This window comes from Homo sapiens, chromosome 3 (genome assembly GCF_000001405.40).
Source record: "Homo sapiens chromosome 3, GRCh38.p14 Primary Assembly".
Classification (NCBI taxonomy): Eukaryota; Metazoa; Chordata; class Mammalia; order Primates; family Hominidae; genus Homo; species Homo sapiens.
In genome coordinates, this window is record NC_000003.12 from 43,266,217 (window position 1) to 43,292,327 (window position 26,111).

Here is a 26,111-nt window from a genome sequence, read left to right on the forward strand (position 1 = left end):
ATGTAGTGAACATGCTCAAACATACCTCCTTATGCCAAGGTGTGTGGGTTTCTTTAGAGGAGAAACCATGACACGCTGGAAGGTGGAATTGCTGGTAACGGAGGGCTGAGCATTTTGAATGTTAACAGCTCTTGCCCGCGATCCTTTGCACCTTCAGATTTAATCCCTTTGTTTGGGGGTTGATTCACACTAAGTCTGGAATTAAACGTTATGTTTTGGCATCAGAACTTCTGCTCCAAATATGTTCAAATTCACTTCCTCGCACTACTGGTAACAGCTGACATTTACTAACCTTTCTAAGCACTGCTCATGACTTCACTCATTTAATCCTCCACCTCAACAGTCCTTTGAAATATTTGAGGGTATTTGCATTACCCTCAGAATACAGATGCCAGCCTGAGGCCTTGACCAAGTTTGGACAGCAATGAAATAACAACCCAAGATTCAAAGTCAGTGTCTGCTGCTCTCCCTTGTTTGCTATTCAGAGTTCTCGGTAAGCCAGGGACCTGATCGGACTGAGGCATCTTAAATGTTGGTTTGAACCCACATATTTATAATGGACTTATCTCAGGAAATTACCAGTAGGATTTGCACTGTGTCAATCCTATCATATGTTTAAAATATGTACATCAGAGCTTTATCCAAGGCTTATGGAAGGTTTAATAGAGGTTGTAGAGGCAGAGACAGAAATTTCTGAGAAGTCATCATAAGCACTATTGAAAACAAAACGAAACGCAGGCAAACATTTTCCATCCATAGGTAAGAATGTGCCCAGGCCTCAGCATTCAATTTTCACCTTGTGAAGTTTCTCTGACATGAAACAAAAGGAAGCTGACCTCATCTACCTTCTCTGAATGGAGCTTTCTCATGGTTCTCTGGAGTTACATTCAATTCAATATATATTGAATTTAAAAACAGTCCCAGCCCTCAGTGCATCAGGATGCAACTGCACTCAGTCTTTTTATTTTTTTTCCTTTGACACTTTTTACAGAGAGAAAATGTGTGACTTTTTTGATGAGCAAACAGCCAAAGGTGTTTAGGAAAGGTCTGTCATTTTTCTGGTGGCCAGACACCCCAAACTAAATTCATTAACAGCTCTTCTGTTGGGAATTTTAAAATATTCTGTGACCTATATAAATTCCTTGTTATGTCGTCTACTAATATAAGAAAAGTAACTGACATACACTGTGGCTACAGATCAAGGAAGCAGCATGGAATCACAGGAAGGAGCTGGGAGATTGTCACCTCACCGTTGAAGACGTAGAAATCCATGTCCTATGCCCTGCTTCTACCCCTCCCATGAAATGTTCTTTGTTTTTTGTGAATAGTAACAGTTGCTTTTTGAACATTGATTCATTTTCTCTTTAGTTTGACATGTATGTGTCATTCAGTCAAGTGTTTCTGTATTTTCATAACTTCTAGAAAATATTAGAGGAACACCCGGACAGAGGAACAAGAGTTTGGCTGTGTTTTATGAACAACTAAGTATAATGAGTGCCATCAGCCACATGCTGGGCTGGTGACCCTAACCTCAAATTAATCAATTCACTTCCTTGCTTCTCAGTTTTCTTTCCCAAAATATCTAAATACATGACGCAGATTTGTGTCATTCATTCATGCCAGTATACACGACATTGGTTCATCCATATAATAAATATTCATGGAACCCTTACTCTGCGCCTTGCATCAATGAAAGGGGCTGGAGCTGCAATGGTAAACAAAATACATGAGATTCCTGTCCTCATAGAACTTAAATTGCAGAGCTATAGAAGCATTGCAGAGGCAAAAATTCTGTACCAGTCAAAAGCAACACATGCATCTGCTTACAGAGATTTCTTTTTTCCTCTATATCTTAAATCTACAGCTCTTGCATGTCTACACTGTGTACTGGTGCTTATTCTACAACACCTTGGCAGAAAATGAGCAGCAACCTCCTTGACAGAAAGATATGGCTTAGAGTTTTCATGTCGCCAGTGTTTAGGTTGATGGGGTAGCTGGCTCTGAGCCCTGAACATAGCCAAGAGTCCCTAGGCTTTCTCCTTTTCCAGGGCCTTTCAGCTGGGGCAGGTTATTGTGAATATCGAATAAAATGATAATGATGATGATTATGGAACTGATATTTTCCTACCAGAACTAACAATGGGTGAATCTGTTGAGAGGATACTTTAAACAATATTAATGATTCGAATGATCCAGTCTTGAGTTTATAGACATTTGCAGACAGTACATTTTATGTTCATTAGACCTCAATTGGTTTAGTCTAGTGACTTTTTCCCCTAGTTTATGACCAGAATTAGCAACTCCAGAGAGCTGAATTAGGCCCTTTGGTTGATTTCATTTAGAGTAGGGTTAGATATAGCTCACTGGTTATAAGGAATTATCCTGTTTGCAGTCTCAGTTAAGATTCGGGTATTTTAAGGCCCTTCCCTTGGATCTGAGCTTCCATAAATACTCCATCACCTTGAATAACTGAGAGTTTACTTTTGGGAAATATGGGGATTGTCATGAATAATCCACACCCATCCTCTTTATTGCAGATTGATATCTAGTAATTAGCATCAGGTACAGGCAATAGGCCCTTGTTGGGTGGGGCCCCAGTACAGATTAGGGATCTGACTTTAGTCATTTTCTGGATGAGTCAGGCTCCCATGTAGCATCAGGAGTGTGTAAATGTCAGAAAATAAGAGTTCAGCTCTTGCCAGCAACTTTTGTTCCTTTCCCCACTATCCACACCCCTCAATTTTCCTCCATTAAAAGAGGCAGACGTGGATTAGATGAGGAGGACAAGTCAAATGACCTCCCCCAGTCATTCCAGAGAAGGTGGCTTCTTAAAGAAAAAAGAAAAAAGGAGGGATGATGGATGCCTGTATAACTCATTGCACTTCTTATACCAAATCTTTTCACCACTTTCTGAAGACTATGGTTCCTCCCTTTCAACATTATTGACTTAAACCTTGTGGAGAAAAGTTTTGTTGTTGTTGTTGTTTGTTTGTTTGTTTTAAACACCTTAACAAGTAGGATAGTCTAAATGTAAGGTCTTAACTACTAGACTCTTGAATCTTGAAAGTCACTCATTCAACTACTTGGTATATTCACTGAAAAGTGTTTATTGAGTAGCTACCTTGTGTAAGTCACTGGGGATTCAAAGGTAAAAGACTTTCAGTCCCTGTCTTAGAGATGAGCTTACAAATTGGTGTAAAATTAAGAGATTATTGTAATAGCACATTGGAAGATCCATGACAGATGACTTGTGTTGTGTTATGGGAACGGAAGGTAGAAAATAGGCCACCCAATCCAGATGGAAGAGTGGAGGATGTGACACTGAAGCTAAGACCTGAGGGTCATGGAAGTAAGCAAGGAAGGTAGGAGATGGGCGTGTGGGTGTGTAACTTTAGAGGGCTACAAAATTGTGGTTTGTAACTTTAGGGGGCATCAGAAAAAAGATAGGTCTTTCCTGAAGGTGGGCTGGATGGAGTAGCCGAGTATGACCTCTGACCATAGCCTGGCTCGGAGTAACCAGCAAGGCTTGGAGAAAACCAAGGTTGTTTTCAGTCAGGAGTGGATTGTCAGGCACACAGTGTATGGCCATGACTTGGGGGCCAAAAGTCAAGAAACAAGTAAACCAAGTAATTTCCTGGTTTCTTTTCCTTGGTTCAGCAAATTCAAAGCTAGAGCAGAAATAAAGGAAGAGTGAATGGTTCTGAAAACACGAGTGCCAAGGATTTCGCTTTTATTATTATTATTAAAAACAATACTATGTTTTCTGTGTTATGTAACTACTTATAATCTCCCCTGCCTAAAACAATTTCAGTAATGTCTTCTAGAAGGATCCAAAACTATCATGGCAGAGAACACTGAGTTTGTTGTGAGAACTGGGGCTGGGGTGGGAGGCATTGAAAATGACACATTTGCATTGGTAGAGGAAGGATATTCCCATAAAGAAGACGACTTCTAGAATCAGCAATAAGTAGCATCTGGAATCAAAAGTAGCACTGGATTAGGAACCAGGAGTTATAGTTCTTGGGAATGGTTCTTATTCTAATGAATTGCATCATAGCTCAGGAACTTAACCCTTTAGGGTTTCAGTCTCTACAGATATAAAACATAATGAATTGGGTTCTGTTTATATATTCCCCAAATATGTATTGAGCACCTACTATGTGTTAACACCATCCTAGATGTGGGGAACGCAGAGAATTATAGGAATTGATTCTTGGTCCTTGGTAGGAGATGGGAGGACAGCTCACAGCCTGGTGGAAGAGGATGAATAAGCTGTTAAAAGTCCATGGGAAGGCCAGGCCCAGTGGCTCACGCCTGTAATCCCAGCACTCTGGGAGGCCGAGGCAGGCAGATCACTTGAGGCCAGGAGTTTGAGACCAGCCTGGTCAACATGGCTCGTCTCTACTAAAAATACAAGTTAGCCAGGCATAGTGGTGCATGCTTGTAATCCCAGCTACTCTGGAGGCTGAGGCAGGAGAATCACTTGAATCTGGGAAGCAGAGGTTGCAGTCAGCTGACCTTGAGCCACAGCACTCTACCCTGGGTGACAGAGCGAGACTCCATCTCAAACAAACAAACAAAAAACAGCAACAAAACAAAAGAAAAGATGTCAATGGGAAGAGCAAAGTGCTCTTGGGAATACATGGAGCAGAGGAGAAAACCATCCTGGGGAGTCCCACAGGTGGACAAGAACACGGATGTATGCTGGGCAAAAGGACTCGTAAAATCCTACGCTTTATAGGTACATAGTATTGCTTTATATCCTAGTTTTGTGAATATAGCATTTGTTTTAGCTTTTATGAAAATAACACTGTGAAGAAAGGAAATATAATTCAGGGGCTTTGACAGGATTTTTTTATTGCTTTTTCATTTCGCTGCTATTACCATCTAGAATACAGGAAGAAAAAATAATCACCAGTTAAAAAACTTTTTATACAAAATGTTCAGCTATGTATAAAAGTGGAGAAAAATTATAATAAACCCCTTTCTGTGTCACCCAATTTTGTTTCCTCCCTACTCTACCACACACAATATTTGCTGAAATATTTTAAAGCAAATTCCAGAAATCATTTCATGTCATCCGGAAATATTTAAATAAGTATCTCTATCCGATAATAACTTTGTAAAAATATAACTACACTACCATTATTATGGGACATAATACTCAGAACTTATTAAAATTGTCCTAATTAGCTCAAATAATATTTTTATTTAAATCAGTATCCAAACAAAAGCTAAATATGGTATTAGTTTTTTTTTTTATTTTATTTTATCTCTCTTTTTTTCTTTATTTTTTTTTTTGAGACCAGGCCTCACGTTGTCACCCAGGTTGGAGTGCAGTGGTATAATCTTGGCTCACTGCAGCCTCGACCTCCCAGGTTCAAGCAATCCTCCTGTCTCAGCCTCCCAAGTAACTGGGACTACAGGTGCACACCCCCACACCTGGCTAATTTTTTTAATACTTTGTAGAGATGGGGTCTTGCCATGTTGCCCAGGCTGGTCTCATACTCCTGAGCTCAAGCGATCTGCCTCTGCCTCCTAAAGTGCTGAGATTACAGGGGTGAGCCACCGCACCCAGCCTATTCTCTCATTTTTTGAGATAGGGTCTCACTCTGTCACCCAGGCTGGAGTGCAGAGGCACAATTACGGCTCACTGCAGCCTCAACCTCCCGTGCTCAATTGATCCTCCCAGTAGCTGAGCCTACAGGCACACATCACCATGCCTGGCTAATTTTTTTTTTTTTTTTGACATAGTCTTGCTCTGTCGCCCAGGCCAGAATGCGATAGTCTGATCTCAGCTCACTGCAACCTCTGTCTCCCGGGTTCAAGCAATTCTCCTGCCTCAGCACCCAGAGTAGCTAGGACTAAAGGTGCACAACACCACGTCGGGTTATTTTTTTTTGTATTTTTAGTAGAGACGAGGTTTCACCATATTGGCCAGGCTGGTCTCAAACTCCTGACCTCAAATGATCCGCCCACCTTGGCCTCCCAAAGTGCTGAGATTACAGGTGTGAGCCACCACATCAGGACTAATTTATGTATTTTTTTTGTAGAGTCAGGGTTTTGCCATGTTGTACAGGCTGATCTTGAACTCCTGAGAACAAGCAATTTGCCTGCTTGGACTCCCAAAATGCTGGGATTACAGGCTTGAGCCACTGCACCTGTCTTCTTTTTTAACTTAAGATTGAGGGGGTACATGTGCAGGTTTGTTACATGGGTATATTGCATGATGCTGAGGTTTGGGCTTCTAATGATCCCATCTCCCAAGTAGTGAACATAGTACCCAATAGGTAGTTTTTTTCAATCCTGGCTCCCCTCCCTCCATCCCCCTTTAGGAATCCTCAGTGTTCATTGTTCCTATCTTTGTGTCCATGTGTACCCAATAAACAATGTATTTTACTGAAAAGACTCTTAAGTCTCTTTTACTTTACAAGTCTTTCCCCTTCCACCTTCCCCCTTTTTATGCCATTCACATGAGGAGGGAGAGAAAGGAGTCATTTTTCCTGTAGAATATCTCACATGCTAAATTTATCTGATTGTTTCTTCTTGAAGTCATTTAGCTTGATCATCCATTTCTGGTAAACTGGATTCAATTCTTCTTAAAACAGTTTTTTGGCTAGAAAACTTAATAGGAGATGGTGTGTACCTTCTGATGTATCACATCCTAAGGGACATATCCGATTGTTCCATTTTTAGAGATGTAAAAATTGAGCAATGTGTTCAAGTGTTCTTAGCCTGATCCATCCATTATTAACAGTTCTCTGTCATCCTTTTACCTAATGGTTATTGATGGTCATTGACTAGATTCATTATTTCATTACATGCTGTGAAGTGGTGATTTTCTAGTTCTATCATTCCTTCTGTCTTTATTAGCTGGGATGCTTCCTTAAAGAACTTATCATCTCTTTGGTTACTCTGAAATACAGTTCATACAGGAAAGGCAGGAGAATTGCTTGACCTTTCCCTTTATGTATCCATTTTCAACAAATTTTAATTCATTGTAGGTTTTTTTAATGCTCAGATTATCCCCTCCTTGGCCAGTGGAAGGCCCTTCAACTTGGCTCCTGTGCTGTTTTGATCTGATCCCAATAGTCTCTGATACCTCCCGTGCTTTCAGGAACTAAAAGCATCCACAGTTTCTTTCTGAGGCATTAATTAGACTTGGAAAACCCTTGCTGTACTCCCTACCCCCACCCTTTTGCCTATCCATGACAAGTAATGGTTTATATTAGTTGTATCCATTAGGAATGCTTTCAGCTATAAGGAAGCATAATGAACAGAGTTCTCTATTTATTCACAGAACAAAACGTCTGAAGCAGGCAGCTGTTAGCATTAGTTCAGCCGCTCTTGATGTCCAGAGCCAGTGTGGCTGTGCTTCTCCCAGCCACTCCTTCATGGCTTCAACATGGCAGCTCCTATTCCAGGCATCATGCCCACCATCAGGGCAGGAGGACAGGGGAAGGCCAGAACCAGCTGCAGCTGTCCCTTTGTATGAGAAAAACAAAAGCTTTCCACAAACCCTTTCCCTTGCCCCACAGTTGAATTCCATCTGGATCTATTGGCTAGAACCAGATTCTATGGCCACCTCTATTTACAAAAAAGCATAGGAAAATGAGCAATTAGTTTTGCTGGTCTCTACAGTCCAGGCAAGGGAGTGGGGTTTGAGAGTGAATATAGGGCTACTGTTTCTGGGAGCCCTAATAATAAAACCAGGGTAAGGCAAGTAGATTCTGGGACCAAGACCAGATTCTGGTCTTGGTCCCAGAATCTACTTGCCTTACCCTGGTTTTGTTATTGTCAATGTTACATGTGTAACACTTCCTAATTTTGAAGCAGAGTAGAAAAGTTAAAGAGAATTGTGATCTGGAAATTAGTAAAGCTTTATTTTCAAGACCACCTAAGGAAGTAAGCATCAGCTGTTTTGACCTCCAGGCCCCAGTGCTTCAGCTCAGCTCTGTTCAGTTATTGGATGCCAAGTCCAATGGCTGGGTCTGCACTGTCCAGTGTCCCGTTTCCTCCTGTCTCTAAAGGGATGGATCAATCTCACCCTCATCAAAACACACACTTCATTTGAGCTACAGTGATTCCTCGTGATGGTGGAATACCTCATGGCCACAGTTTCACCAGAGGCTGTCCAGCCTTCACACTGTTTTGGTAAAGAGCAAGGCAAATGTTCAGCAGCACTCAGTACTGATGATAAAACACTAAGCTTATTCTGCACCAACTGATAAATGGCCACTGCCTGGAGCCCCCAAGTCCTTGGTTATCCCCGCTCCTCTTGGAAGTCCAGACAAGACCTCCTCTCAATCCAACAGCTAAGGGTGAAGGCCTGGCCTGGTGGGGACCCTAGGACTCTACTCTAGCCAGCACTAGGGCCATCTACTTTGTGTCCATCCATTTAGGGGTCATATGGCTCCAATTTTTAAAGTGTCTTGAATACTTTCCATGAGAAAGAAACCTTGTCACTATTCTTTCCTGTCATTTCTCTTGACCTTCCCTGTCTCAAGGACAAATGGGTAATTAATGATAACAAACTCAAGGAATGGAGGTGGATAATTTCATCACTGATAGTCTTGGTTTCTTCAAAGCTAATTCATAAATTTCTTATTAGAAAATTTGAGCTGCTCTGATACTGTTTTTTTTTTCCTTTAATATTCCTACTGCAAGTAAAAAAAGTCAGCCACAGAAGAACCCACTTGTATGATCCCATGTATATGAAGTTGAAGAAGAGGCAGCACTAATCTGTGTTGTAAGAAATCAGGTAGTGGTTACCCTGGTTGGGATACTCATGAGGAGGAAGCACAGAAGGCTTCTTGGGTGCTGGTTTTGCTCTTTTTTCATGATCTGAGTGTAGAGACTGATAGTCCATTAACCCAGTATCACCCTCCTCTTTTCTCCTTTCTATCAGAACGCTGATTTCCTTGTTGGAGCTGGGGTGGCATGTGATTGAGCTGAAAACTATATTTCCCCATCTTCTTTGGAAGTAGGGCTGGTCATCTGACACTCTTTTGGCCAATGAGATGAGATGCAAGTGAAAGTTCTTGATGGGACTTCCAGGAAATCTTCAGGTGGACAGGCTTTGTGGCCAGTGTCCTTCACCCTTCCCTAAGTACACTAAAGAATACATTGCCATCAGCCTTGGTCATCCCAAATGTCCATTTATGTGCTCATGTGTAAAAATCTCCCACGTGTTGCCTGTTCACTCATTCAACTAATACTGAGCACTTACTACCAGTTAGGTTGTGCTGATCAGGTGTTACGGATTCAGATGTTCCAAAGCCAGTGCATTAGTTCATTCTCACACTGCTACAAGAAATACTTGAGACTGGGAAATTTATAAAGAAAACAGGTTTCATTGGCTCATGGTTCTGCAGGCTGTACAGGAAGCATGATGGCTTCTGAGGAGGCCTCAGGAAACTTTCAATCATGGTGGAAGGCCCAGGGGAAGCAGGCATGTCTTACATGGCCGGAGCAGGAGGAAGAGAGACGGGGGAGGTGCTACACACTTTTAAACTGCCAGATCTCGTGTGAACTCTGTCAGGAGAACAGGACTATGGGGATGTGCTGAACCATTAGAAACCGCCCCCGTGATCCAATCACCTCCTACCAGGCCCCACCTCCAACTTTGGGGATTACAATTCGACATGAAATTTGGGTTTGGGTAGGGACACAAATCCAAACCATATCAGCCAGGCCTATAATTGGAGATGTAGGCCTGCAGTGAAGGACAAAAGCGGTGAACTGGAGGCCCTAGACCCTGGTAAACAAGGAGCACAGGGAGAGTGCTGCTCAGCTCTAGCAGATGTTAGAAATTCAAATCTCAAGTTGCAAGATCTTCCAATTTTTCAAGAGAAGCCAGAAATCTTGATTTTATTTTTCAAAATTAACTCTGCCAGGAGGTAGGACTTCTAGCTATGGCAGAGTCAAACTGGACAAAGTTGTCATATTAGTTTTCTATTGCTGCATAACAAATTACCACAAACAGCAGCTTCAATAACACACACTCATTACCTCATTTTCTGTAGGCCAAAATTCCAGGTAGACTCTACTGGGTCCTCTGCCTAGTGCTTCACAAGACTGAATTCAAAGTGTTGGCCAGACTGGTCTCTTATCTGGATGTTCTGAGAAAGAAATTGCTTCATTCAGGTTGTTGGAAGAATTCAATTTCTTGCAGCTATAGGACTGATGTCCTGTTTCCTGGCTGTTGGCTGGGAATCACTTAGCTTCTAGAAGCTGCACTCTGGTCCTTTGTATATGGCCCTCCATCTTCAAAGCCAGCCATGGAACATTTTTAATTCTTCTCATGCTTTGAATCTCTGACTTCCCCCTTCTTCCCACTAGCAGGAGAAATTCTCTGATTCTAAGGAGCTCACATGATTATATTAGGCCCATCAGATAATCTCCCTTTTCATATAAAATACAGGCGTACCTCATTTTATTGTGTTTCACTTGATTGCACTTCACAGACAATAGGTTTCTTACAAATTGAAGGTTTGTGGCAACCCATAATAGGTTTTTCATAAGTTGAAGGTTTGTGGCAACCCTGCATCTACCAACTCTATTGGCACCATTTTTCCAATAGCACGTGCTCACCTTGTGTCTCTGTGTCACATTTTCGTAATTCTCATGATGTTTCAAACTTTGCCATTATTACTTTATCTTTTATGGTGATCTATGGTCAGTGATCTTGATGTTACTATTGTAATTGTTTGGGGGCACCACACACAGTGCCTGTAGTAGACAGCAAACTTAATAAATGTGTGTCTTCTGACTGCTCTACCAACTAACCATTCCCCCATCTCTCTCCCTTTCCTCAGGCTTCCCTATTCCCTGAGAAAGAACGATACTGAAATTAGGCCAATTAATAACCCTACAGTGGTCTCCTAAGTGTTCAAGTGAAAGGAAGAGCGGCAATCTCTCACTTTAAATCAAAAGCTAGAAATGATTAAGCTTAGTGAGGAAGGCATATCAAGCTGAGACAGGCTGAAAGCTAGGCTTCTTGCACCTAACAGTTAGCCAAGTTGTGACTGCAAAGGAAAAGTTATTGAAGGAAATTAAAAGTGCTACTCCAGTGAATGCATGCATGATAAGAAACTGAAACAGCTTTATTGCTGATATGGTCAAAGTTTTAGTGGTCTGGATAGAAGATCAAACCAGCCACAATATTCCCTTAAGTCAAAGCCTAATTCAGAGCAAGGTCCTAACTCTCTTCAATTCTATGAAGGCCGAGACAGGTGAGGAAGCTGCAGAAGGAAGTTTGAAGCTACCAGAAGTTGGTTCATGAGGTTTTTTTTTTTTAAGCCATCTCCATAACAGTACAAGTGCTGATGGAGAAGCTACAGCAAGTTAGAAGATTTGGCAAAGATTATTGATGAAGCTGGTTACTTTAACAACAGATTTGCAATATAGAAGAGACAGCCTTTCATTGGAAGAAATTGCCATAGACATCATCCATTGTGCAACCCATGGATCAAGGAGTAATTTTTACTTTCAAGTCTTATTGTTTAAGAAGTATATTATGGAGCCTGGGCAATATAGGGAGACCTCATCAGCATGAAAAATAAAAATTAGCGGGGCATGGTGGCACATGCCTGTGGTCCCAGTTATTCAGGAGGCTGAGGCAGGAGGATCTCTTAAGTCTGGGAGGCCAAGGCTGCAGTGAGCCATGATCATGCCACTGCACTCCAGCCTGGTTGACAGAGCAAGACTCTGTCTCCCCTCAAAAAAGAAGAAGAAGGAGGAGGAGGAGGAGGAGAAGGAAGGAAGGAAGGAAGGAAGGAAGGAAGGAAGGAAAGAAAGAAAGAAAGAAAGAAAGAAAGAAAGAAAGAAAGAAAGAAAGAAAAAGAATATTTTGTAAGGCTATAGCTGCCATAGATAGTGATTTCTCTGGTGGAAATTGAAAACCTTCTAGAAAGGATTCACTATTTTAGATATCATTAAGAACATTCATATGGTCAAGCACAGTGGCTCATGCCTGTAATCCCAGCATTTTGGAGGCCAAGGAGGGAGGATCACATGAGCCCAGGAGTTTGAGACCAGCCTGGGCAACAGGGCAAGACCCCATCTCTACAAAAATTTTTTTAAAATTGCAAGATGTGGTGGCACGAGCCTGTGGTCCCAACTACTCGAGAGGCTAAGGCAAGAGGATCACTTGAGCCTAAGAGATCAAGGCTACAGTGAGCCTTGTTTGCACCAATGCACTCCAGCCTGGGTAACCAGAGCAAGACCCTGTACCAAAACAAAACAAAACAAAACAAAACAAAACAAGAAGAATATTCACGATTCATGGGAGGAGGTCAAAATATAGACATTAACAGGAGTTTGTGAGAAGTCGATTCCAACCCTCATGGATGACTTTGAGGGGTTAGAGACTTCAGTGGAGGAAGTCTCTTCAAATATGGTGGACACAGCCAGAGAATTAGAATCAGAAGTAGAGCCTGAAGAAGTGACTGAATTGCTATAATATCAAGATAAAACTTGAATGGATGAGGAGTTGCTTCTTATGGATGAGCAAAGAAGTGGTTTCTTAAAATGGAACCTACCCTGATGAAGATGCTGTTAATATTGTTGAAATGACAACAAAGGATTAGAATACAACATAAACTTAGTTAATAAAGCAGCAGCAGAGTCTGAGAGAATTGATTCCAATTTTGAAAGAAGTCCGACTGTGGGTATCACACACTCAAACGTCATCACCTGCTGCAGAGAATTCTTTCGTGAAAGCACGAGTCAACTGAAGAGACAAACTTCATTGTTGTCTTATTTTAAGAAATAGCCACAGCCACCCCAACCTTCAGCAACCACCAACCTGATCAGTAAGCAGCCATCAACATCGAGGCAAGACCCTCCATCAGCAAAAAGATTATAACTCACTGAAGGCTCAGATGATTGTTAGCAGTTTTTAGCATAAAGTGTTTTTAAATTAAGGTGTGTACATTTTTAAAGATATACACTTAATAGACTACAGTAGAGTGTAAACATAACTTCATATGCACTGGGAAACAAAAAAAGCTGTGTGACTCACTTTAATGAGGTGGTCTGGAACTGAACCTGCAATATCTGTGAGGTGTGCCAGTATTACATATCACAGGAGTGACATCTCATCATATATACAGGTTTCACCCAGACTCAGAGGGGTAGGGATTATACAAGGGCAAGGGTCATTGAGGTTCATTCTTAGAATTCTGCCTATCACAGTTTTCAAAAGCAATGATTTCTTTTTTGAAAATTTTTAAACATTTTAATTTTTGTAGAGATGGGATTTCACTATGTTGCCCAAGCTGATCTCAACCTCCTGGCCTCAAGTAATTCTCCCACCTCAGCCTTCCAAGTTGCATGGATTACAGCGTAAGCCACAGTGCCTGGCAAAAACAATGATTTCAGAACACTAGAAATAGACTAAAATCAAATGAACAAAACAAAACCGAAAAACGAAAAAAGAGAAATATTCGTTCATGAAGAAATTCTAAAACTTCAGATATTAATAGTGGGAGTATGTATTCCATTCCCCAGTCCAACCCTCAGCTCAGTTGGTGAGGTAGTGTTTACCAGGGGATGACTGGCTATGAAAACCAGTAGTGTTGTTTTGAAAGACAGCTCATTTGATTTGGAGTGGAGGGCACAAACCCACGCTCTGTGGTATTATCTGTAAAAGTAGTAAACATGGTAGGAAACAGAGGGGGAAAATACATAGCTTGGCTAGTCTGAGCCTGCAATCCTTGGTGTAAGGAATGAACCAGAAAAAATGTAAAGGGAAGAGCATGTAAAGAAGAGATCCATTGAAGGACTAGATAGATAAGCTTTCCTCACATCCCTGGCTGACTGGGAAGGTAAGCACATGTGCCAGGGAGACCTGAAAGGGTTTAGCAGAAAGTAAAAGCTGAAGTAGGCTTGAAAACTACCTTGCTTTTCAATTCATGCACAGATTCATCAGCAAAGTGTGGAAACCTTATGGGTTTGGACACAATGTCTGCCCGATCATTGGCTGACCATTAAGATATGCAGATACAGAGGCAACCATGGGGAAGCCAGACTAAAAAATATAACTAAGAACAAAACAACTGAGCAGAATCATGTGCTGCACATCATGAGGGAAGATTCTGCGGATTAAGTTCAGGCAAGCTACTAATGAAAGGGGGGGAAAGCTTTCAAAGGAGAAAATCAGAATCCAGAGCTGCTACAACATATAATTTTAAATGTCCAGTTTTTAATAAAAAATACGAGACATGGAAAGAAACAGGAAAATGGGACTCAAGATGAGGGGGAAAAAGCAACTATTAGAAACTGACTGGCCAGGCACGGTAGCTCATGCCTGTAATCCAAACACTTTGGGAGGCCAAGGCAGGTGGATCACCTGAGGTCAAGACCAGCCTGGCTAACGTGGTGAAATCCCGACTCTACTAAAAATACAAAATATTAGCTGGGCGTGGTGGCAAGCGCCTGTAATCCCAGCTACTCAGGAGGCCTAGGCAGGAGAATCGCTGGAACCTGGGAGACAGAGTTGCAGTGAGCCGAGATTGTGCCATTGCACTGCAGCCTGGGCAAGAAGAGTGAAATTCTGTCTCAAAAAAAAAAAGAGAAAAGAAACTGACTATACATATCATATTCATGAATTGAAAGACTCATTATTGTTAAGATGATAATTCTCCCCAGATTGATCTATTCATATAACATAATCTTCATCAAAATTTCAAAAAGTCAACAATTTTTTTTGTGGAAATTGACAAGCTGACCCTATAGTTTACACGGAAATGCAACGTGCCTAGAATAGTAAAACAATCTTGAAACAGAACACTATAGATGGAAGACTTACTCTACTCGTTTTCAAAACTTACTATATAACAATAGTAGTCAAGACTGGATCATAATGGTGTAAGAATAGCCATATAGATCAACAAAAATGAATAGAAAATCCTTACATTAAGTTGATTGCCAACAAATTGCCAAGGCAATTTAATTGGGAAAGGATACCGTTTTCAACAAATGATTCTGGGATGATTAAATATCCATAAGCAAAAATCAAATGAAAAAAAAAGCCCCATAGCCTCTAAACCTCTCATCATGAGTAAAAATAAATTCAAAATGGATCATAGACTTAAAGGCCAAACTTAAAACTATAAAACTTGAAAAGACCAGAGAAGAAAATCTTTGTGACCTTTGCTTAAGCAAAATTCTTAGATATGACACCAAACCAAGGATCATGAAAGAAAAATTGGACAAATTGGAATTCACCAAAATTCAGAACTTTATAACTTCTAAACACATCATTTTAAAAATGAAAAGACAGGCCACAGCCTGGGAGAAAATATTTGCAAATCACATTTCTAATTAAGGACTTATATCCAAAAAGCATAAAAAATTCTTACAACACAATAAGACAAACAACACAATTAAAAATGGGCAAAAGATTTGAAAAGCCCTTTTATCAAAGAAGATATATGAATGACCAAAAATCACATGGAAAGCTAAGGAACATCATTAGTCATTAGGGAAATGCAAATGAAAATCATGAGATACCACTATATATGTATTAGAATGGTAATAATCTAAAAGTCTAACAGTGCCAAGTGTTGGCAGGGATGTGGAAAAACTAGAACCCTCATACACTGTTGGTGGTAATGTAAAGTGGTACAGTCATTTCAGAAATAATTTGTCAGTTTCTTAAAATGTTAAGCATAGAGTTATTGCATGACCCCAAAATTCCACTCAGCAATGTACCCAAGAGAAACGAAAATATGTCCCCACTAAGAGTTTAAACAGTCATAGCAACAGTATCCATAATAGCAAAAATCTGGAAATAAATGAAATGTTTATCACTTGGATGGATAAAGAAAATCTAATATATCCATATAAAGGAATACTGTTCAGCAACAAAAAGGAATGAACTACTGATACATGCTAGATGGAAAAACATTATGCTACATGAAAGAAGTCAGACACAAAAGAGTACACATGGTATGATTCCATTTATATGACATTTCTAGAAAAACACAAATCTATAGAGACAGATAACAGATAGTATGTGTTGAGGGCTGAAAGCTGGAGTGGGATTGATTGCATGTGCACAGGAGAGACCTTTTGGGGTTGATAAAAAAATTTTTTTTTGAGATAGGGTCTCACTCTGTTGCCCAAGCTGGAGTGCAGGGGTGAGATTCCAGCTCACCGCAGCCTCGCCCTCCTGGGCTCAGGTGATCCTCCCACCTTAGCTTCCCAAGTAGCTGGGACCAAGGTGCATGCCCCCATGCCCAGCTAATGTTTTTCATTATTTTTGTGAAGACGGAGTCTCTCTGTGTTGCTCAGGTTGGTCTTGAATTCCTGGCCTGAAGTGATCCTCCCACCTCTGCCTCCCATAGTTTTGGGATTACAGGCGTGAGCCACCTCTCCCAAGCCAGATGAAAATATTTCAAAAGTGGATTGGGGCGATGGCTGCATAACTTTATAAATTTACTAAAAAACCATTGAATCGTCCACCTATTATTGGTGAATTTTATGGTATGCAGATTATATTCAATGAAACTGTTAAACAAAAGTATTAAATCTCCCAATTTAAAAATGTTCTCAACTAATTCAAATTCTTAAAGAACCTATGTGGGGAAAAACAATGCCACAAGTCTGTGGGTGAAAAGCCCTGGGACTGCCTATTTGCAACCTCAGTGCTAGGTGGCAGGAATAGAAATTTAAATAAAATACAATCCTTGTCCCCCCAGAGTTTAAGATCCAAAGGGAGAAAATGGAACAATAAAATTACAAAACTGTATGATACTATGAGTGGGAGGGTATGGGGGTCCCAGAGAACTCCTGGCTCTGACTGGAGTGGGACAGTTAGGAGTAGCACAGAGGATGTGACATGGGAGCTGGATTTTGATGGGTAAGTAGGAATTCAGGAAACTGCGGGTGTAGTAAGTGGAGAAAAGGAGTAGGTGACATTTCCAGACAGAAGGAACAGAATAGGCAAAGACTGGGAATTGTGAAAAGTCAATTCTCTTTGTGAGAACTGGGAAGGCTGGAGACAGGGTACACATGCAGAAAAGAAAGTGCAGGAGAGGAAGCCAGGGACCAGATCAGGAAGGGCTTGGTAGGCTGTATTGACGTTTTTAGATAAGGGATTTATCAGGATTTATTTGCTGAAAGAACAACATGGACATGCTTCTTTTGGCCTAAATTAGACTTTGCATATTTTGGCAAGATCATATTGCACACATTAAAAAATATTCATTAATATACTGCTTACTATATGCCAGCCTTTGTTCTAATACTTTATATAAACTCAATCTCATCAACTCTGGTTCTCAAACTCTAATCTGTCTCAGAATCACCTGCAAGTCTTAAAACAGAGAAATCAGAGTTTCTGATTCAGTAGGTCTGAGGTGGAACTGGAAAATCTGCATTTCAATCCAGTTCCCAGGAGAAGCTGATGCTGCTAGTCCAGGGAGCACACTTTGAGAACCACTGCTTTACATCAAACTTATAAGAAAGGTATTATTATCATCACTGTCTTTCTCATTTTACAGAAGAAACATATAGAAGGTTATGCAACTTTCCCAAAGCCATCTTGCTCTTAGCAGTAGAGATGGGGTTAAATGTCAATGTCTGTCCTATCTTCTAGTTCACTGGTTGCAAACAAGCAGAGTTAAGGACTGGCATTTCCAATTCTTGTTTGCAACTATCAGAAATATCTCTCTCTCACACACACACACACACACACACACACACACACACACACACAGGACCTTAACTGACATCTGAGATAAAAGAGTAGAAGATGTTAACTGATGCCCATAGGGTGGTGAAGGAGTCTTTGAGGAACTCTTTAGGTCATTCCAATTAAGTATTATTTTGATCCTACTGGGGTGAAGCCAGGATCTAGAAATGCACAAGTATAAATGTATGAAATAACTAGTTAAATATGTAAAAGGGAATGTTGTTAAATAAAATGTCACAACTCAAAATTGAACTGTGTATGAATATTCAATGTCTGTTGTTTTAAATACATTTATTTTAAAATTTGAAATAAATTACAAAAACTAACAATATCCAGAGAAGATAACCTTGTTACATATGCTGCTTTTGGGGTTCCAAAGATGAAAATGACAATTCTTTCATCAGTCTGCTCAATTTTCACATTTTGATCTAATTTGTGGCACCTCCCTGGTTTCCTTCCAATAAACAACATCTTCCTTAAACTGGTGGCATTATGTTATTTTTGAGATCTGAATCACAGAGACTGTAATACAAGCAAGCATGCTTCATCTTGTCGTTTTGTAGAATGCTGTACATCTAATTAAAGCTTCTTACAGGTCCATAAAAAGACCCAACATTAAAAAAGCAGTGTGTTGGAGAAAGCCCCAGGGCAGAGTGGAAAAGGAGTTTCTTCATTAACTATAAGCACATTTGCTTAAATTCCAACTTAAGTAATACTATTAATTTGTACTTGAATATCTTAAAATATTGCCGAAGCATAATCAAATCATGTCACCACATTTATGGTGTGGAACCAAAACTGGGTCATATTCTTGCCAGCAGCACTTCAGCTACCCAAGAAATACTGGGGATGAATAAATGATTTACCATGTGGCCAGTACTGCGTCCTTCTCTAGAAGAGTATTGCAGCCAACTTCATTTAAATCAATTTATTATTTTGCCCTTTTTCATTTGTTTTGCTCTTTTATGCCTTGTTTTCCTTAGAAAATTTATTCAAAACCTAGTTAAACAGCAGCAATATAAATACTTTATTTTTCAAGAGCTTATATATTATCGTCATTGTTCTGTAGTTACTGATATAACTCAGGGACTACAGACCCAGGGGTGGAGGCCTTCGACCACTGGAAATCCCTTGGGAGACCATTACAGTGGTATTTTCTCCCTTTAGTTGGCTACAGAGTTCCCTGAATAGTGATATCTCCCTGAGGAGAAAAGTGCATGGTCTTCCTGATTTCTAGCAACAAAAGGACAAATTCTACAAATCCAAGTTAGGAGCTCTTGCTTAATATGCTGCTACAGTTACGATTTCCATGTCAAAATGAGATGACTCTTTTATGGTCTTTTCAGGTCAGAGTGATCCCAGGTGGGACCCTAAGGCGCAGAGGCCTAATCTGAGGCTTTCCCTGGTGCTCTCCCACCACCTGATGCAAGGGTATTAGGGTAACTGGGAGTCCCCTTGATCAGAAAACCCTATGTTATTACCCTAAGAATCAAACTGTTTGCACCTCCCAACAATCCACTCCTGCTTCCCAATCATCTTCAGACATGCAAAGTTGATGCATAGAAGCTAAAAGGCTTTTGACATTTGCAGGTCAACAGAGATTTGCTAAAACCATCTAGATTTCTCTTCGCAGTCCAGTCAATTCAACCAAGCCTGCAGCATCTCCGCAGCTCTTCTGGCTTGTGTCCTTCCTTGCTAGGGGTCCTTTCTTGGGGAAGGGTGGACACAACGTGGGAACAGAAGGGGAAAAGCAGGTTGAAGAAATCTGGCGTCTGGTTTGTTGGTGTTCCCTTCCAGGAACCCTGAAGAGCTGGTCTCTATTGCATGCCATGCTTCCAGGGGTGGGAGTCGGGAGTCCCCTCCCACCCTCTGCGGCCATCCCTAAGCTCCCTTCCAGAGCAACCTGGCCTGGCGACCATACCACTGAACCATCAAGGGCTATGGTTAATGCCCGGCGTGTTTTGAATCTCTGACTTCACGTGCTTTGATGTGTCCCCACGACCGTTTACTTTTCTATGCTGTTGCCAGAGGCTGCCTAGCAGGGCCTGTGTCTCCCGCTGACCTTTAAGGCCAGCACTGCATTCAGATGTTGGGCTTTTCCAATTTTGCTTAAATAACAACAAAATCAACCGAATTTTTTCAAATTAGAGTCCCAGGGAGAAGAAACTACAGAGAAAAAAATCATATTATGTATATATATGTATATACATATGTGCATGTGTGTATGTATATGTATTTTTACAATTTTTTTATCCTTGTTTAAACCTGGGCGGGAACCAAAGAGTAAAGCGCGTGCGGCTCCCTGCCCCCTGCCGCCAAGACGCAGTCCTGTACAGACGCGGTCCCTTCCCTCCGATTTCCCCTGACAGCTCGCGCTACTTTTTCCCGGCCATTGTTCCGTGTCCCTGGTGCTTCCTCCTCCCCCGTCCTCCATCCTCCTTGGGCGCCTTGCCCGCTTTGTCCCGCCAGCCGCCTCAGCCCCGACTCGCCGGGGTCAGAAAGCCGCCAGGATGCCCTCCAGCAGCCCGCGCGCCGGCCGCAGGTGCGCGCCGCCCCGCCCTGCCCTTCCCGCGGCCCCGCCCCAGCGCTGACGTCACAGTGACGCGCAGCCCGCGCAGGCGCAGCTACCCGGCACCCCCTCCCCGCGGCCGGCAGCCCGCTCGGTATTATGATTAGCGCTGGGTGCGGGGTTTCGGCGGCCGGGAGGGAGTTGTCGGCGCCGCGGCCGCTGCGGACGGACGCTCGCCTGCCGGCTGAGGTAGGGGCGAGCGCGGAGCGCGGCGGGGCGCGGCGGCCGTAGGCAGGGGTGCGGGGCCGGCCTCCGCCGCCTCAGTAGCCTCCGCTGTTGCCGGGCTGGGCGCCCGGGCCGGGGCGCTCGCCGCAGGCGGAAAGTAAGTTGCGCTCTCGGCGCCGGCCGCAGCGCGCGGCCCGGGAGGACGCGGGGCCCGGGCTGCGGTGGCCCGGACCCCGCGGCGCGGCCTGGCGGCGGGGCGGCGGCGGGGCCCGGCGGGAGCCGTCACTGCGGCGGCGGCCGCGGTCGCCTGGAGGCCCTGCCCTTGCGGCCGCGGCGGGATTGCGGCACCTCGGAAGGCGCCCGCATCCCCGCGCCCCGCCCCGGAGCGGGCCGAGTGCGGCGCCCGCGGGGCCCCGCGCCCTGGGCGCTTGGTAGGGTGTGTGTTCTTTGAATGCGTTTTCCCCTTTCAGAAGACTGTAGAAATCCGGCCTCAGCAAAAGGGTTCCGTGGTCAAACTGCTTTACAATAGAGTGGGGATGTTGTCTGTAGAGAAAGGGCAAAGGGGTAAGGAAAGAGGAGCAGTGCCATTCCCGAGGGAGAGCTAGAATTTTTGCAGACTGGGAGACTGGGAAATCTACGTTCTTTTCCATAGTCATCGCCTGTTGATTTCTTTCTGGTCCATTTTACAGGGACCTTCCTGCCTTTTACTTGGACTTGGGTTGCAGGAAAGTGGCAGCCTTTTATCTTCGGGGTTCTTGGAGCTGTGCTATTTGTAACTGTTGGATCGCATACAGTCCAGTAGTTTCATAGGGAGTTTCAGGCTTTGGGGAGAATTTAGCAGTGGAGTTCCTAAATCTATAGAGGTCTGAGGATATGGGACCTTTCAAACTGTCATGTTACTTTCCACCCCCCTTCCCTTTAATTATGTGCATTCTTAAAGTCTTAGGAACCGTGGTAAAGTTGACTTAATGCCTTAAACATTTTGTCAGGTTTTAAGGTGAAGCATGGCTTGCAAGTGTTGGACATCCTGTTGAATCTCCACCAAGTTCCTATCAAACATGAAATGCCTGAGTTTGGGCTCCTTGTATGGGATTGGAGCACTATGTCCCAAACCAGTCTTTAACTTATCAGAATATATACAGCAGTGTACTTTAAAGCCCGGGTTGTCAAGGCTTATGTAATCAGTTTGTTAATTTATAATCTCGTTACATTGCTTTCCAGATTTATAAAATAATTCCCTTAAGGAAATCTGTCCTCAACGTCTGCTTAAATATTTCTCTTGGAATTGGATTCTTGAAGAGGAATGTACTGTACAAGTGATGATTAAAGCATACTAATTAGACAAGTTTCTTTTTTTAAAGAACACCAAATACCAAATTTTTAATCTGATTATCTGTGTAATTGTCCTTGAGAGGAGAACAGGTGGACATTCCCATTTTACAGAACTAGAAATGAGAGAAATTACATGACATTTCCAAGGTCACATATTGAAGCAGTGTAGAAAGTCAGGTGCACAGTGCTAACTTTTTATAATACTCTCATCCTGAAGGCTTTTCAGGCAGGAAACTTTCAGTGCCACCTTTCAATTTTTTTTTAAATTTGTATAATCAGTTTTTAATTGTTCATTTTGTGCACAAAAATTACTCTCACCGTATTTTTTAATAATTCTGAGTATTTTTTTCTGTTTTACTGCAGTAAGATCCATTAGTCTAAAACATGCTAGAACTCAGAAGTTGTACTAATTTTATTTTTCTAGACCAGAAGTATAGGTTGGGTCTTTATGGTTTAGATTTAATCACATAATCCTAAAAGAAAGGCTTTTAAATGTCCTTATTAAAATTGAAGGGCTTTCGTGATATTTTTACTGGTCACAGGAAATACTGTTCATCTGAACTTCACTGTGAGTACTTCCCTCATACAGAAAGTGAAACCAAATAGAAAAATATTTATTTCTGGAGATACTGAGCAGCCATGGTTCTAAGTACTGGTATAAATAAGACATGATTTCTTCCCTGTAGCAGCTTGTCTAATCCTAAGAGCTCTTTACACTGCCCAAGAAGAAAAGGGTACAAATGAACTTTCCATAGGCCAGAATCTTAGGAATTAAAAACCGTAGATGAGAAACTCTAGACTTAATGTAACTGCATCCCAGCTGTTTGCTTAAAGATAGAGTGTTTATAACTAAGATGCTTTAGTAAGAAAACTGTTATTCAGAATTTAGGTATTTCCCAGTGTGTATCTATGTGCAGGTAAACTTAGAACAACTTAGGTGGAAAAATTGAGTGGATCCTAGCAGTTCTGAAGATAAACTTAACCTTTGATCATTTATTCATGGAATGTTTGTGTGTCTCTTTTGGTGGCCCTAGGGTAGAGGGAGGGCAGCAGTAGAAAAGTGAATAAAAACCAGTTCCTGACTGTAGGTTCTTAGAAGCTACTGGGGAACACCAAGGTAAACAGTAACAGTACGAACAGATGAACTGTGGTGAGGCATAGGGAAAAACCTGCAGAAGCACAAGGATGGCGGCAGTGAACAACCTGACATGGAAATGCTTCACAGAGGAGGTGATGGTTAAACTGGTCTTGAAGAATAGGAAGAATTCCCAGGCAGAGAAAAAGGGAAAAGGCTCAGGGGGTTCAGGGAGGGTGAGAAGACAAGGTCAAGTGGTGGGTGGGAGAAGAACATAGATCCAAGTGGGTGAAAGGGAGTTGAGAAGGCTGAGACAATGCAACTGTTCTTTCCTTAAAGCATTTGAAAAGGAAGGAGGGAAATGGGGCAGTTGCTTTGGGGGATGGAGGAGAAGGATTTTGGTGAGGTGTTTGTTTTGTTTTGTTTTAACTTTGGGAAGAGCTGGTATAAAATTCCTCAGATTTAATGGCCTCACGAGTGAGCACTGGAACTGTGTTGTCTGCTCTGGATAATCCAGAGCTACGTCATTGATCCTCATCTGCTTTTCTGCACATCTGCTTTGGGTTGTGGCTCTGTGTCTCATGGGAAACCATTTCTTGCTGGTGGTAGGGAAGGAACCTGTCTAAAGAGGATTCCTGCTTTGCCCTCCCTGAACATTTATTTCTCTGCTGTCACTTCCAGAGCCTCCTGAGAGTCTGCTTTGGCATCCCCAGCATTTGGCCTCTGCTCAGGTAGGCTGTTCCATGGCAAATCAGGCCTCTTTCCCTTTCCTTTTGCTATTATGCCCCCTAGTCTGCTGCCATGTGGCTACTCAAAAGTTACTTCAGACTCAGAGATCATTAGTTGTTCATCTAACATGTTTTAAGTTTTGGAGTATCTTCAGGCCCAAAGCAAGATTAGGTCTATCTGCACATCTAAACACATACCCTCTTGACTAATATTTGCCTGGACCGTTTAATGTAGGTTATGACAAAAATGCTCCAGGAACCTGGATTACACAACATAACGGTGGTCAAATCGCAGCCTCACTGGGCCTCAATTTCTTAATTGTTGACCTGCAGTTATCTCTCTTAAACCCATAATACTGTCAGCTCTTTGAAGGCAGAGACTACTTCTTTGATCTGTACATTATCAGACCCAAGTAATGCCGGGTACATAGTCTGTACCAAGAAGTGTCTTGGTGAAGAAGGTAAAAAAATCTAATCTTTAATTTGTTGATTTTATCAGCTTGTTATGGAAACCACACCCTTTCTAATAAAGCTGGGTTGGATTTGAATTGTTTTTCAATCATACAATTTTAGAACTAGAAGCAAATCCTCTACTTTCTGCTAGCATGTTGTAGATGTTCCTGTCCTGAAAGTCCAGTCTGAGAGAATGGCATCACCAGCTACCACTCTCCGCTAGAGTCATTCTGGATTTCTCCCTTTGCTTAGCCTCCTGTGCATTGAGTTCTTGGATTCTACTTCCAAAATGTGTCTCCTCCACAACATCCTTATCATCACTGCCCATATACCAGCTGCCCTCATTTTTAAGTCTTTAAGTAATTTACCTGGAGACATTTTCAGTTGTCTGCTTACCTGTCTTCTAGCTCTATTCTCGCCCTTTCAGTCTGATCTTCACTTTGCTGCCAGAGTAATTTGTTAAACCATCATCTCTGATTGCCATTCTCCTGCTCAGGATTTTTCTTGAGCTCTTGTTTTTGGCTCTTTATGCTAGCCTTCATTTGTTCATTTAATAAAATATATCTGTATATTTTGAGTAGATGCTATACTTGGCAGACCCTGGGATAAAGAACTAAATAAAATGAACATGATCCTTATGTGAACTGAGCCTGTCATTTAGTTTAGTGGGGGACACAGATTATTAACCACACAGTCACACAAATAATTATATGACCTCACATTTGTGATAAGGGTCATAATGGCAAAGGACACAGTGCTGTGAGTGAGTATAGGGAGCTGTATGTGCATGGAGTTGGGGAGGGCAAGGGGATGGTCAGGAAGTCGTCCTTTAAGCTGGGCCCTAGAGCATGGGTAAGGGCTAGCCTAGACCTAAGAAGTAGAAATTGATGAATTATATGGAATACATGCCTGACCTTGTCCCCTGCGCTCTGCATATATTGTTGTCTGAGTCATACTAAACTTCCTTGGGCCTCTTTCCTGAAAAGCCTCTTCCTTACCGTTGCCAGTTTCAGTTCTTAGCTCAAACACACAAAATTTATTTCTCCAGAATGCTGTCTGTGGCATTCTCCAAGGCAGATTTAGGAGAAAAGAACACCTCTTTTTGCGTATCTGTTCCCGTAAGAGACTGTGAATAAGTTGAGACAGAGACCTTCCTAGTATCCAGTACAGGTGTTTAGGGGCCAGTTTGTTGGGCCAATAGAGGATGAGGTTACTGATAAGAAAATGAGATGGAGAACTATATATACAACCCCTTTCAAATACTGTAATCTCATGGGAGGGAGGCCAGTTCTAAAGTTAGGGGGATAAAATCCTTAGGTGATTTGTATTCTACTCACACCCTGCTAATATATATTATCCCATTTAACTTTCACAATAACTGTCCAAGGTGGTGATTATCTTTATTTTATCAAGACATGCCTTTTCATAGAAGTTGAGTAACTTGTTGGGCTGTAGATCCTGTGGTACTCTTTCCACTGTGCTGTCATGCCACTCTGCATATGTGCTTAATAAATGAATTCTGATCATTCCTGAAGTGTACCTCTATGGTGAAGATAATAAGAAAAGTTAACTATGTGGTACTTTGAAATGTGGAATCTTAGGACTGTTATCCTAGCTCCTCCTCTGATGTTCCCTCGCCCCCAGGCAACTCTTAACTGGGTGTAGGACCTGGACAAAGTGAGTTTGTAACCTCATTGGCTTGGCCCTGCTTTTTCATTTGTAAAATGGGTATCACTCTTAAGGAATTAAATGATATAATGTAAAAAGTGCAGTACATACATAGATTCCTAGAAATTAAAATCTGTTTTCTCATTTTGAGACCTGCATTCAAACAAAACTGGAATTCTAATGGCCAACTGAGGCAGCAAAAGACATTTTAAAAATTAGAAATAAGACAAAAATCCATGGTTTTGCTTTACTCGTTTCTGTATAAACCTGCTTAGGTTACTAATAGATTTTTAGTAGTATGTATATGGGTGATAACGAGAGAGATCTATTAAGCCACAACAAAAATGTAGTGTTTTATGGAACTTTGTAGTGAACAATGAACTTTTAAAATTTGTTTGAATTCTCTAATAAGCTTATTTC

The 26,111-nt window shown here is 41.8% G+C and overlaps 1 protein-coding gene across 6 annotated transcripts in view, besides 5 other annotated features; it reads left to right on the forward strand.

Annotated features, from left to right (window-relative positions):
- Window positions 20,064–20,564: an enhancer, noted in NCBI's record as "H3K27ac hESC enhancer chr3:43327772-43328272 (GRCh37/hg19 assembly coordinates)". NCBI's record gives its function as "activates a minimal SCP1, AML or CMV promoter by ChIP-STARR-seq in naive H9 embryonic stem cells {active_cell/tissue: H9 hESC(naive)}" and the evidence as "EXISTENCE:reporter gene assay evidence [ECO:0000049][PMID:30033119]".
- Window positions 20,064–20,568: a biological region, named in NCBI's record as "H3K27ac hESC enhancer GRCh37_chr3:43327772-43328272".
- Window positions 20,169–20,568: a silencer, noted in NCBI's record as "silent region_14254". NCBI's record gives its function as "represses an Ori minimal core promoter by ATAC-STARR-seq in GM12878 lymphoblastoid cells {active_cell/tissue: GM12878}" and the evidence as "EXISTENCE:reporter gene assay evidence [ECO:0000049][PMID:35858748]".
- Window positions 20,324–26,111, forward strand: part of SNRK (SNF related kinase) — a 64,604-nt gene continuing 58,816 nt past the window's right edge. For 3 of the 6 annotated variants that reach the window (NM_017719.5, NM_001100594.2, NM_001330750.2), the window contains exon 1: window positions 20,324–20,459. The gene's annotated coding sequence lies outside the window, so the exon portion shown is untranslated. Of the gene's footprint in view, window positions 20,593–23,523; window positions 23,574–26,111 lie in introns of all 6 variants that reach the window. The other 3 variants (XM_005265245.4, XM_047448396.1, XM_047448397.1) reach the window with 3 other exon arrangements.
- Window positions 20,809–20,858: a silencer, noted in NCBI's record as "silent region_14255". NCBI's record gives its function as "represses an Ori minimal core promoter by ATAC-STARR-seq in GM12878 lymphoblastoid cells {active_cell/tissue: GM12878}" and the evidence as "EXISTENCE:reporter gene assay evidence [ECO:0000049][PMID:35858748]".
- Window positions 23,270–23,497: a silencer, noted in NCBI's record as "fragment chr3:43330978-43331205 (GRCh37/hg19 assembly coordinates)". NCBI's record gives its function as "represses an EF-1alpha promoter that drives an FKBP-Casp9 reporter gene in an ReSE screen in both phorbol 12-myristate 13-acetate-treated (for megakaryocytic differentiation) and untreated K562 erythroleukemia cells {active_cell/tissue: K562 | K562(+PMA)}" and the evidence as "EXISTENCE:reporter gene assay evidence [ECO:0000049][PMID:32094911]".